The sequence below is a fragment of the Homo sapiens genome, chromosome 12 (genome assembly GCF_000001405.40).
Source record: "Homo sapiens chromosome 12, GRCh38.p14 Primary Assembly".
Lineage (NCBI taxonomy): Eukaryota > Metazoa > Chordata > Mammalia > Primates > Hominidae > Homo > Homo sapiens.
This window is the reverse complement of record NC_000012.12, coordinates 5,182,333-5,196,459: the sequence shown is the minus strand read 5'-3', so window position 1 is coordinate 5,196,459 and position 14,127 is coordinate 5,182,333. Positions and strand designations below refer to the sequence as shown.

The following is a 14,127-nucleotide window of genomic DNA, read 5'->3' as shown; positions in this document are numbered from 1 at the left end:
CAGAGCAGAGCCTGATTCCTAAACTTTAGGCTGCAATGACCTTTGTCATTAGAAAATATATCAACAATTCTTTTTTTTTTTTTTTTTTTTTGAGATGGAGTTTCGCTCTGTCGCCCAGGCTGGAGGGCAGTGTTGCAATCTTGGCTCACTGCAAGCTCCACCTACCAGGTTCACACCATTCTCCTGCCTCAGCCTCCCAAGTAGCTGGGACTACAGGTGCCCGCCACCACGCCTGGCTAATTTTTTTGTATTTTTAGTAGAGATGGGGTTTCACCATGTTAGCCAGGATGGTCTCAATCTCCTGACCTGGTGATCCGCCAGCCTCGGCCTCCCAAAGTGCTGGGATTACAGCCGTGAGCCCCCGTGCCCGGCCCCGATATCAACAATTCTTGAAGTAACTATGCTGCTTCTTCTATGGCTCTGGTTAGGCTGTTAAGTTTCCTAAGGGTAGAAGTCAGCTTCTCATTTTCTTTCATTTCCCTGAAAATGCTCGATACAGAATTGTGCACAGAATGAGCTCAATAATGTTGACTCGTTCATTCAGTTGGGGAATTTGGCCAACAGTTAACTCTTATCTCCTGCCATCTTGCTAACTGTTGGCAGTTCTGCTTCACCCTCAATTGCTGCTTATGTCTGTGAAAATGTTAAAGAGAGATTGGAAGCAGGATTGTGTGTTGATAATTATTTTTCCAGGATTGATGATAATATTGAAGAGGAAGGAGCTAGGAGTGAGTTGCTAAGTGACAGAAAAAGAGCAAGTGGAAGTTTCTTAGAAGTAGAGAAGGAAACAAGAAAGCAGAAAGTGAGAAGGTAGGAGAATTGAAGCAAAGCATTGCTAGAGAAGGATGGTTCAGAGAGAACTGTCTAATTATAGTATGTTTATATTGATGACAATTTAAGCATTTGAAGCACAGCCTTATGACATTTTATTTGGATAAGTTGGGCTTAAAACAACTTGGCTCTGAATTTAGGCAAAGGAATAATAACTTAGCAAACAAATTCAACTGTAATAAATCTGGGAGAAGAATGATGGCGTCAGTGAGTGGTTCACATATGCTTATAGTAGAGACTAGTGAGATGCATTTAACACCCAGCCTATTTCCTTTCTTATATAAGGAACTCCTTTACTCCATGGGGACAGAATAGTTTGGCAAAGCACTGTGCTGTCACTCTGCTGGGCCATATTCTCTTGAAGACATTAAATGACAGTGCTCACCAACATTTAAATGCCAAGTAGACAGTCAATACATATTTACTGAGTACCTGCTTGTACTTAACATACGAAGATCCAAAAGATAAGTGTTATGTACTATCCATGTAATTTTGCTGGAAAGATCAAAACACAAAGATGGCAAATACATGGTACATGTATGCCCTTGCCCCTGCTTGTCCTTGAAGCAGATACAGTAAATCAGTCATGACGCACATTCTCACTGAACTAGGATGCTGCCTCAGAAAACTTCTCATCACAGCATTGCATGCAATCCCTGCTGATCATTCAGAATTGCCCCAAGAAGGGAAGCCTATTTCCTGTCCTTGCCTCCACTATCATGAGTACAACATTAGTCTAATATACTGAATTATTCCATGATAGACTATAGGGTATAATGAGGAATTCAGAGGACATAGAGATTACTCAGGGCCACAGTTACATGGTCTTGAGCTACATGTCAGATGGGTGTGATTGAGGTTGGCATAGGAAAAGGAGGGCTTATCCAGTGACGACAACACAGACAAAGGCATGGTGGTACCTGAGCAGGCCCAGCAGCCACAAAAAGCAGCTAAATCTTGAGGAATAACTTCCTAATTCACAACCATCTGACAAAGGACTAAGGGGTCCAGCCTTGGTGGGTGCTGAAAAGGGAGATGGCCGACTGCCTAGCAACCATTGCTAAACTCTATAAACCAAGGATGAGCTGGAGAAGAGGCCAGGGGCCAGGAAATGCAGTCAGATTTCAAAGCAGAGCTCATGTCACAAACCCAGAGGAGTGTTAGGAGCACTGAATAGAAATGCGAGCTTCCAAAAAGAATATATGGAAAACTTCAAAGTGCTGAATCTTCCATAGAAAACATGCTGAGAAGTTTAAGAGATAACAGGAAAATTAAAATGCCTTGTGGCTTTCCATCACAGGGTAGATAAAGCAGCTGAGGGTCGAGTGAAAAGTATTTCCTGCTGTCTTCAGACGGTAGATTGTTTTCATTTCCACTGAAGGCAAAATAGAAGGGGATATCTTGTAGCAAGAGATATTTAGGAAAGACATCAGAAGCACCTTTTTTTTTAAGAGATGGTATCTTGCTGTGCCACCCAGGTTGGAGTGCAGTGGCGTGATCATAGCTCACTGCAGCCCCAAACTCTTAGGCTCAAGGATGCCCCCACTTCAGCCTCCCAAGCAGCTGGGACTACAGGTGTGCACCAAGGTGCCTGGCTCAGAAGAACTTTATAATAGAGTTGTTGGAAACTGCTCAGGATCAGCAAGCGTGATATGGCATCTCCTTCACAGGGTGTCTTTATAAAAGAGAAATGTCCACAAATTTGGGCTGTATTACATACATTTCCACCTGGAGCTGGAGAATAAACTAAATAGCCCCTAAATGCCCATTCAAGTAGGAGGCTAAGGCTATAAACAGCATGTAATCCTAGACTAGCTAAGCAGGGCAGCATGTCAGAGAAGCTCCTTCTGTCCACTCTCGGATGTCTTACACTCTGTCCCTCCTGCTTCTCTCGCCCCAGCTGTAACCCCACCACTCATATAACCCAACAAGAACAGAATGCAATCAACTCACTGGTGTTGGGTACCTCCTAAACAACTTCATATTATAGGCATTGCCATTCCCTGGTGTGAGTCAAGTTCTTTGACTGGTGTCAGATCTAAATATTTTAGGCAGAATTATATTTAACAAAGACTTTGTATCCTGGTGTTCCTAGCAGAAGATATCAATGAGGAGTGTAACAGCTAGAGCTCAAATTCCTGATATTCTATCACTGATTTTCATTAAATGATCTTAAACAAATAATTTTTACTTCCTTGGGTTTTCATTTCCCTTCTTTAAAGTGGGTATGAGGCCAAATATCTACTTAATTACCAAAACAGAATATTTTGGGAAGAAAGAGACAGTAGCCTTAATGATGCAAGAAGCAAACCGGATACATCTCTTGCTGGCCTAGCATTATGCACTAGAAAAAAAAAAAACAGCAAAAGACAAAATAGTAGAGGTCAGGCTAATCAAAGTCTGTGCATGTTGCCTAAGTGTGGAGGGCAGGCACCCCCAGCAAATTTAAGGCAGAGACAGAAACCAGGAGCAGCAGGAGAACCACAAAACATACAGACAAAAATATTTCAGCATTAAACAATTGCACTCGAGAAAGAAACAATTGTAAGATGATAGGGAGACTCATTCTCTAGGAAGACACTCAAGGGCCTAGGGTGCTATATTTCTCCACAAATTCTGATTGCTTTCTTTCCTGAACAAGGGACATGAAAGACTGCCATTTATAGCATGGAAAGACCAAGGGGTATATATGTATAGATATGACGCAATCCAGTTGACCTGGCAAGATTCCTGGATAGTTTTTGAGGAAAGAGAGAGAAAAGTCTTGGAATTAGCTGAGGAATCCTTTCCACTGTTGTGATATAGAAAAGGATGTGTTTTCAAAAAGAATATAATAAAGAAGTAGGAGATACAACAGTGTATTTAAAATGTTGATCTTGAAGATTCAAGAAATTCACAGACAGACATCCAGTGTATTGTGCTTAAAAACTTACACTGACTACACAGCGTGCTTCAGATGAATGAATGAGCAAATGATCAGCCCAAAAGATCAACCTGCTTATCTTCCACCTTGAGTTGGCAGTTTGGTCTTCGTACTGCCCCCAAGGACCCCCAGACTTATTTCCTTTGAGCTGGGAAGTAGAATTCCTTCTCCCATGTCCACCTTTCCTTCCATCCTAGCCTTTTACCAACCCCCTACTATAGGAGCCGTCCAAAGTTCCAAATAATGCCATCTGTGATTCCCTCTTTAATCCATTCATGCTAGACTTCAAGAGATTCCAGCCATTCTTCTGATAGCTACACACAGTTTATGGTGGGTGTTTCCCTCAGCCTCTTCCTCTGTGGAGGGACCACGTATATCCAACTAACCCTGTTTATCCTGTTGCTGGTGTTTGGCCCTGGGAACAAATTCTCCCAGGGCTAGGTAGGAGTATGCTTGGCATCTGGGGCAGTCCTCGTATTCAAGCTTCCTCTGATGTTCATTTTTCTCTTCTAACCTTCTCTCTTTAAAGGCATGAGGCCCCTTGCAGTCCACTAACTGTGTTTGGAAGTTAATCTCTGAGTTTACAGCAGCCATGACATTCTGGGGGTAAAATATAAAAGAAATGAAAGACAGTAGTGAGGATTAAGGAGCTTCAAAGCCACTTCCCTATTTCTGGGAAGGTTTCCTATCACTCTGTTTTTATTAGGTGCCTTTGTTTCTTGAGGCTGCTATAAAATTGCCACAAACTTGGTGACTCAAAACAACAGAAACTTGTTCTCTGTTTGGGAGGTGAGACGTCTAAAATCTGGCAGGGTTGAGCTCCCTGCAGGTGCTCTAGGGAGAATCTTTCCTTGCCTCTTCTGGCTTTGGTGGCTTCCCCGGCCTTCCTGGCTTGTGACGGCATCATCCAATCTCTGCTCCAGTCTTCACATCGCCTCCTCTTCCACGTGTTTGTCTTCTCTGAGTATCTATCCTGCAAGTGTACATGTGATTGCACTGAGGGCCTACCCAGGTAATCCAGGCTACCCTCTTTCTTTCAAGATCTGTAACTTTTGGGGGGAAAATATAGATCCTTAACTCAAATCACATCTGCAAAAACCCTTTTTCCAAATAGGTAACATTCACAGCTTCCAGGAAATTGGATGCAGATATCTTTTGGGGGTGGAAAGGGGCATTTTTTTTCAGCCCACACAGTGGGGACAAAAAACTAATATTAATTTTGTAAGGCACACAGTATCTCATATTAATTCTACGGCAGTCTGTCAGCAAAGTATTCTTATTCACATTCTGCAGATAAAGAACTTTAAACCCAGGAAGACTTGCTCAGGATCACTAAACTGATAAGCAGGGGACTTGGGTTCTGCCTGGCTCCACAATCACTGTGTTCTACAGGCCATGGCAAGTTAGGGGACTCCATGCTGTTTCTGACTGCGTGCCAGTGGGCTAACCACCTCACTTCCAGGGCTCGGTTTACCCACAGGATGATGAGGTGGCCATCTCAGTGTCCTTTTCATCCCTATGATTCTGGTACCAAGGGACGTCTAATGATCAAATGAAGTTACAGTATAATTTGCATAGTGTTATCGTTGGATAGAAAAATTGTTTTTGACCTTGTCACCAAGAAATGCTTCGTAGAAAAGATGAAGCTTCTTGGCTATAGGTTCTCTCTTGTTCATGCCCTACTTTGATCCTCCAGCAAGCTCCAAAGTTATTCATTCGGTCAATAATTTTTTCATCACGTGTTTATTAAGTATATTTGATTTTCCCAGAAAATTTAATGGACATTAAGAAAACAGTGAAGTTGGGAAAACCCAGACATGGTTCCTGATGGAATTTAAAATGATCAGACTGAAGAAATCAGCCTACTGTCTCTGCAGCAACATGAATCAGTTAATTCTAGAAACCTTTAGAGTGGCAGTTCTCAAGCTTTATCTTGCATCAGTATTATCTGGAGAAGCCAGGTGCAGTGGCTTATGCCTGTAGTCCCAGCACTTTGGGAGGCTGAGGCAGTAGATCACTTGAGGTCAGTAGTGAAACCCCATCTCTACGAAAAATACAAAGTTATCTGAGCATGGTAGTGCATGTCTGTAATCCCAGCTACTGGGGAGACTGAGGCAGAATAATCACTAGAACCTGGCAGGTTGCAGTGAGCTGAGATCACGCCGCTGCACTCCAGCCTGGGCAACAGAACGGGACTCTGTCTCAAAAAAACAAACAAACAAAAATATGTGGAGGGCTTGTTATAACACAGTTTCTTATTCAGTGGGTCTGGGATGGGGCCTGAGAATTCGCATGGCTAACTAGTTCCCGGGTGATTCTAATGCTGCCGCTCCAGGGACCACACTTTGAGAACTGCAGCACTAGAACGATTCCCAGCTGGGGGTCCTTGGACTACTAGGCAACTATGGCATTTTATGAGAAATAAATATAGTCTATTGGCTGAATAAATAAAAGTAAAACTACCATTATGTGGGCTTGTTTAAATATTTTGATGTTAAAAAGAAATCTTCACTCTTAAAAAATTTCTATAACCCTTGAACAAAAGCCAGAAAGTCAATCAGGTTTTATCTCTTTTTGCCAACGCTGATTCTATTGGCAGAGGTTCCTGTAGTGTTGTGCTGAGAATGATTCAAATCCTGCATGTTGGCCCAGTAAGAAAGAGAGCTATAATGCATTAGAAATATTTGTCTAGATGAAGGAGAGATAGTGAAAGTAACTGTACCATGTATTTGCCATTTTAATTTAAATATTGAAGTTATTACAATTTAGACTTATATCTTCTTCTCTTCTAAGTCCACACTCTTTGGGAGCCATCTGATCCAACCCATGGCTTTAAGGATCATCTGTATGCTGATAATGCCTTTCACACCTCCTGCCCAGCTCCCCACTCTGACTTCCAGAGCTATTTTTTCCAACTGTCTTCTTGACATTTCCACTTAGATACTGCATATGCATCTCATAGCCAACTTTCACATGTTCAACAGTGAATTGTTGATTTTCCTCCTCAAACTGCTCTATTCTCATCTTAATAAATGATATCATCAACTATCCATTTATTTTGGGAAAAGCTCTTGATGTCTCTTTCTTGCTCCCTTGTCATATCCAATTTCTATTGATTCTACATCCAGAGAATGGCTTCAGTGCCTTTACTTCTTCCCATACTCATGCTCCCTCACAAGTCACCATCATCTCTCACCTGTATTGTGCCAACAGCTCCACTTCCATTTGTCCTTCCTTGTAATGCAAACTGGAAGTGATTTCTCAGCACCTCACATCCTTCAACTGCTCCCTATTTTGCTCAGGGTAAAATCCTAACATTAATGCCTCGTCCCACAAGGTATTGCATAATCCAACGCCAGACTGCCCCTCCAACCTCAGTAGCATTGTGCTCCAGCCACACTGGTCTTTCTTCGCTTTCTCAAATACCTCAAGCACTTCCTCACCTCAGGGCCTTCCATCTTCCCTGCCTCTGCCTGGAATGTGCCATCCCCACTCTGCAAAGATGCACCTACCTCCCGGTCACAAGTTAGAAGACCACTTCCTCAAGGAGGCCTTCCTTGACCCTCTCAAGCTAAATCAGGTCTTGCAAATACTCTCATGTGGGATTTTTCACTCCACTTTACCCAGCTTGTAAAACTTCTTTATTTTTTATTTATTTATTTTTTAAGTATCTGTGTTTCCACTAGACTGAGAGCTTCCTGAGGGCAAGGAATGTATCCCTATGGTCTCACCACTGTTCCCCAGCATCTGGTTCAATGCTCATAGGTGCTCAATTAATACATGTTACATGAAGAAATGAGTAAAACCATAAAAGGTAGAAAAGGCAGAAACATTTTGCTGTTCATTTCAGGCCCCTCTCTCTTCTGTCTATCTGTCCCATTTCTCCAGTTCTCTGCCTCCTCCCTTATGGAGCCTTGGCTTTCCACAGACGATGGAATGTTTGTCTGATGCTGGGCAAAGAAGATTAATGACAAGGTAATGAGAGTTTCTATTTATGCCAGCTCCTTTGTCTGAGTTCCCAGCCTGGGAACTCTAAACCATCCAGCCACCCACCAGGCCTCAGGAGACAGTTCTTCAGGCAGTGTTGGTGAGCTCTGTGGTGTCACAGCAAGATCGCTTTGTCTTTCACTCCTGACCACGATGTGCATTTTGTAAGAAGGAAGCTTGCTTGAGGCACAAGATTCGGGACTGGCTCCACTTGCTAAGTTGGTTTTGGTTTTGCACAGACAAAGTTTTTTAACTTGCTAGACATTTTCAACATCATCCACAGTTTGATTCCAGATTCCACAGCTAAGCCTTGAGAGTCTAAAGCGCCTCTTATTTTGAAGACCAGCATTGAAGAAAGAGCAGATGGGATGTGGTAAGGGGCACGGTCATGATGGCAGAGCTGGAGGAGAAGAAGGTGTGACCAGGACCTTCCCTGTACCGGATGGAGAGCTAAGCTGCGGCCGAGTGTCCCATGGTGAAGCTAGCTTCATGTTCTTCCCCTGCCCAGGTCTCTCAGCAAGGAAGCCCTCTAGGCCTCAGTGCTTGCAGCAATACCATTTGGAGTCAATGCTCCAGTTCTGGAAATTCTCTTCATTCACAGGGCATGTACAGGAGGTAGGACACACAGGCGAGAAAATCAGGCATTAGGCCTAAAATCTTACATATCAACTGTTCCTTGTTTTCTCATTTTTTGCTTGATTTCCAAGGGCATCAGTGACTGAAGAAGTTAAACTTCCTAGACAAAATTGAAAGTTTAAAAATGTCTACACTCCTGCTGTTTCTCCCTTTGTGAGAAATGCTTTATGCTGGTCATCAAAATGCCTAGAGTCCAGGGGTGATTTGGGCTGAACATTTGCATCCCCCCAAAATCTATATGCTGAAGCCTCAACCCCATGTGTAGCTATACTTGGAAATGGGGCATCTAAGAAAGTAATTAAGGTTAAATGAGGTCGTAAGGGTGGGGTCCTGACCCCATAGGATTAATGTCTTTATAAGAAGAGACACCAGAGATGGTTGTCTCTCTCCCCAGGTACGCACCATGGGAAAGCACAATGAGAAGGCAGCCATCTGTAAAGAAGAGTGCCCATACTGGGTTCTGATCCTGCTGACTCCCTAATCGTGGACTTCCGGTCTCCAGAACTATTGTTTAAGCCACCCAGTCTCTAATATTGTGTTATGAAAGCTCAAGTAGACAAATGCAAAGAGCCCAGATATCATCCTCTAGCCTTCCTTCCCAAACTCACCTGTCTTAGATTCTATTCCATTAGTTCCAGTGTAACAAACTGATTCATACTGATCTAATAATCAGGAACAAATTTCATCATCCCCTCAGAGACATGGTGGGAAATGAGGCTTTTGATGCCCAGCCAATAAAACAACCTAGCAGCCACTTACTTGTCCCTCCATTTCTTTGCGGCATTGGCTGGTGTTCAGGCTGGCTCGAATTACCAAATAAGGAGAGGGAATGGAAGAGGAGACAATGGGAAATGAAAGGCAGTAGACAGATTTTGAAAATGTTCACTTTTATGCATGTATTATGAGCCTATACTTTGCTGCTAGTAGGGAAATAAAAATGAGTAAGATATTTCTTCTATCCCTAAGCCCAACGTTTAAAGAAATCAAACCTAGTGAAAGTGAAAAACACTAAGTCATTGTCACATTTTATTTTTTTCTAGTATCTAAAAAACTGGGCTTACAACAATCTGGTTTTATAATTTTCTTATTTAAAAATTATTTTGTTCAATTTTTTTAAGTGTTCAGGGACAAAGCGGGGTGGATTTCCTTAAAAAATACTACTTGGCAAAAAGCCAGAATTGGCTAATAAGAAATTTTCAGAATTCTGAATAGCGTACACTACATATAGGCAATAATAGACATAAGCTGAGAGAACAGTCGTAAGAGCTCAGCCACCAGGGAAATGGATTTCTGATTGGCAGGACATTGTTCTAGGATTTTGACTCTGGAAGTCAGTCTATTGTGGAGATTTTATTTCTTCCTTTTTCCCCGTTTTCTTTCTTTCTCTCCCTCTTTCCTATTATCCTCTCTTTTTTCTCCCTTCTTCTTATTTTTGGACATTTAAAATAGCAAATCCTAGAATGATTTTCTTTTATTAATGACTTGGCCCCGTTCTGCAAAAAGAAGAAAGTGCAGATACGTTAGCTTCCTGGAAGCAGCAAGAGAAATAAAACTAGTAGTGTTAACTAGTGTAATCCGAGCAAGGATGTTTGACACATAGAGGAGAGGGAAGAAGGCTGGAAAGCAGCCTCTCTCTCCATAACCTTCTACTCCAAGGCACCTCTCAAGGCCTGGGGAGAGAGTGAAGCTTGTTCCAGAGCTCCAGGGAAGCTGGTTCCTGACTCAGGTTCGGTGTCCCGTGAAGGCTACTTTGTTTTTGATCCCTGGTTAGGAAGCCACGAGGCAGAAAGATACTTGGATGTAACTGGATGCTTGTATTTCTTTACATATTGTGATTTATTGCAAGTTGATGTAAATATTTTATGCAATTATTAGTAACCAAAGACGAATTGCTATTTATGCTTTATGTTAACAAAAACATTCTTGTTTCTAGGAATAGTATAAAGGGCTGGATCTTGTATGTGTATGAATCTGGGAAAACCTTAAGAATTGAGACATCTTAGTCTTATCCCTAAGCATCACCACAAAATGAGATTGAGCTTGGTAGGAAATCACCGTCCTTAATAAGGAAGGCAAGATCTGTCCCTTGAGCTCAGATTGGTGACTATGAAATGATAACTGCATAACTGCCAGGCAGGGAGGGGACGGCCTCCCCATGGAGGGCCCGAAAGAGTTAACTGCATCCCCACATGCCCCTCCCTTGCTTCCCCAGCTCAGGGATCTTACTGGATAGGGCTGGACTTGTCAGGAGAACAAGAACTTGCAGTTCAACTAGGAACTTGGACTTCCCGCACAGAAAAAGTTAAAAAAACTTGCAGGAATGGGGAAACCTGAAAATAAAAAGAACAAAACAAAACAAAACAAAGCAGGGTTTGTACTAGTTCATTAGATGCCTACGTACATGTTTGCCTGGCGATAAAGGGGATTTGAGGACATAGGGAAGGGCAAACAGAAAATGAAAATAAAGCCAATTGGCTGGGCTTATTGTCATACACTTCCAGGGCACTTGAAGGGGAACGTCTGCGGACAAACTTATGTTTGGGGGGCCTGGGAGGCACTGAGGGCAGCAGCCTCCACCAGACCCCTATAGGTATTCTGTGTCTAGGGAGATGCTTCCTCTGGGGCCCTCAGGAGAAACTCCTTTGGGTTTTTTTTTTTTTTTTTTCCAAAACTTCAGGCACGACCCTGCAAAGGGAAGGAATGATGGAGGTGGCAGAACACGATTGCTTTCTGTTGAGAAGCGTGTGTGCCTCCAGGCACAGGTGGATCTACTTTAGCCTCCTTAGACCACAAAATAATATTTCTCCAGATTGGATGAATGCAGGGGCTACCCAAAAGATTGAACACTCAGCATTCACACATTGCTCATTCATTCAATACCTGTGAGCCACAGCTCCAAGTCCGTGGCACCTGATCCCTTGACACATGGGACTTCTCTTGCAACACAAATTAATAGATAAAATGAAGAATTTCAAGCTGGTGGCTACAGAGTATTAAACCCCAAGCCACTGAGCAAGGGGCTTTGTGTGATGTTCTGGTGTTCTGCAATAAGTCTTTCTAAAAATGTTATAATATTTAAGTACACTTAGTTTTTGGTATTTGTAAACAAAACTCTAAGTAATACAGAAATTAGTACCAGTCAGTGCTACCCAGAGCATAGGTAAACTGGGGAATTAGGCCCGGTTGGGACAAAAAGCAATAAAAATATTAAATAGTGATAATTTACCAATTCATGGCTTGTAGCCCAGAAACAATGAATTGAAATACTGCCTGTGGTTACTTAGAATGCGGTGCTCATTGCAGCAAGGTTTTGGGAAACTGAGTGGACACTGTTTTGTGAAAGCATAAATGACGGGAGGAAATCAAGGAAGATACAGGGGCGTGGCTGCTTCTGGGTAGCATAAGGAAAGATGATGGTCAGATCCAATTCCTACATTCTTTGCTCAAGGCACATAAGGAAGCTCAAGCACTTTCTGTGACCTTGTTAAGAGAATCTCTCATGTCTTGCAGGCACAGGGCTCCGATAAAAACAATTTCACAGTTTGATCCTATGGGCTGCCAATTTACAACAGTTGAATTCACAACCTCGTGAGGTGTCGTATGTGAGAGTGAGGGCATGGTTAGGAGTGGCTGGGAAGCTGAGAATTGGATGAGGCTGTATAGGAGCGCTAACAACATTTGGAGCCATTCCTGTTACCGTCAGCAGAGGCAGACTCTCCTTCTTCCTTACTTGATAAGTCTGTTAAGCTTTGCCTGAAAGCCCTATAACTCCTTTGATGAGTCAATTCTCTTCATGTCTCATCCCAATTACCCACAAGTATCTCCTGACCTATAGCTATAAACAGATCCTAGCATACTCCAAAGAGTGAATAACAAATCAAAGCCAGAAGTCTTACACACCCTTCCTAATTTGCAGTAGGTACGTCTGAATACCAGGCAAAAGAATAGCTTCTGAGTGTCTCAGATTAAGAAGAAAAGAATATATTTTTAAGATTAGAATAAATGTATGAATATAGGCTCACTTACCATTTATTCTGAATTCAATATGCAGGACTTAACACCTGAACTTGATTTCAATTATGTTTTGGGTTGATATATTGAGATCTGGACTAAATGGTGCCTCAAGTAAAATAAAGTTTATATGCCAACAATTCTTTGGTCTACTGCAGAAATAAAGAATCTGAATAATTTGAGAGATGAAAATGGTGGAGTAGATTTATTACTGCGTGATGCCTATGAATTTCTTAATTCTGTAATCTAAAATCATTCCATTCACCAAGACATTAATCAGTCCATTAGTGAGAAAAAGGCCAGAATTTTTAATCAAAGCTTTAGAGGTTGTTTTTTTAGGAGGAGTACTGATGAGACACACTGCTATGGAAGTGTGCTTCCCAATTTCAATGGATTTGGGAAGATCCCAGCATGGAAAAGGTCAAATAGTAGCTCTTACTCATCACACGGATAATGTTGATCACCAAAGAAGATGTGGTTATCATAATAGACAGCATGGGCTGCATATTTATTAGAATTATTAGAATGGTCTCAAGTGTAGTTTTTTTGTTTTGTTTTGTTTTTTTGTTCGTTCGTTTGTTTGTTTTTGAGACAGAGTCTCGCTCTGTCACCCAGGCTGGAGTGCAGTGGTGCTATCTTGGCTCACTGCAAGCTCCGCCTCCCAGGTTCACACCATTCTCCTGCCTCAGCCTCCCGAGTAGCTGGAACTACAGGCACCCATCACCACGCCCGGCTAATTTTTTGTATTTTTAGTAGAGACGGGGTTTTGCTGTGTTAGACAAGATGGTCTTGATCTCCTGACCTCGTGATCCACCCGCCTCAGCCTCCCAAAGTGCTGGGATTACAGGCGTGAGCCACCACGCCTGGCCAACTACAGGGATTTTAAGTGATGGCTAACTCCTCATGATGTAACCAGTGCCAAAAGAGCTAGGTAGCCCATCTAAGTACAACTGGACTTCAGTAACTTACAAACAGCAGCTCTGCAGACAGAGGCTGGGCTTGGACTCCACAATGAAAGTCATGATCCCTTACTCAAGTTCCAGACATGAAACAGTTGACCAGCACAGAGCCTCTTGAATGAAGAAGTTGATTGCCCTGAAAGAAGGACCTTATGATAATACGATACAATATATGCTATAAGTCTTCTTAGCCTTCACCAAAGAAGACTGCATCCATGAAGTAGGGTAAAAGTGTCCGGGGAAATGTAAATACCCAGATGTGTGGGTAATTTGTCTCCATGCCTAAATCAAACTGCTTCCTGCAAGCCTGCTGCTGGAGCTGCTCGGGCCATAGGAATGGTCCATGGGGCTCCTCAGTGCCCTCCCTCAGTCTCTACCATGGTCTAACAGACCCACACAGGTTTACTCTCACTCTCCCCTAGTAATGGTCCCCTATGAGAGGACATCCCCATTACAAGGCAAGGAAACAAGTTAGCCTCTCTCTCTCTCTCTCTAATCCTTGAATTGGCAGCAAAGCCTCCTCAAAGTAACCACAGAAAGCAAAGCAGAGGGAGACTTGCTGCCCATGGCACCTCTCAGATCCCTTCCTTGCATCTCTAGAGAACCTTAAAGCAATCTTCTTTCAGACGACCAAAGCAATCTTCTTTCAGACGACCAAATTAGATTTCATGGAATTGTGTCATAGGAGCCACTGGTCCCAAAATCCCTTGGAATATTAGAAATTGTGTTATGGCTACGAGTTATGGTCACCACTGATATTTTCAATGTGGGTCACCTGAC

At 42.6% G+C, this 14,127-nt stretch overlaps 2 long non-coding RNA genes across 3 annotated transcripts in view; one reads left to right on the top strand and one right to left on the bottom strand.

Annotated features, from left to right (window-relative positions):
• Positions 1-14,127, bottom strand: part of LOC105369617 (uncharacterized) — a 257,798-nt gene that overhangs the window by 183,285 nt on the left and 60,386 nt on the right. The gene's annotated exons all lie outside the window — the stretch shown is intronic.
• LOC124902864 (uncharacterized) lies at positions 664-12,572 on the top strand. Its single transcript, XR_007063179.1, has 2 exons — positions 664-810; positions 7,643-12,572. It is a non-coding gene; the product is annotated as an uncharacterized LOC124902864 (long non-coding RNA).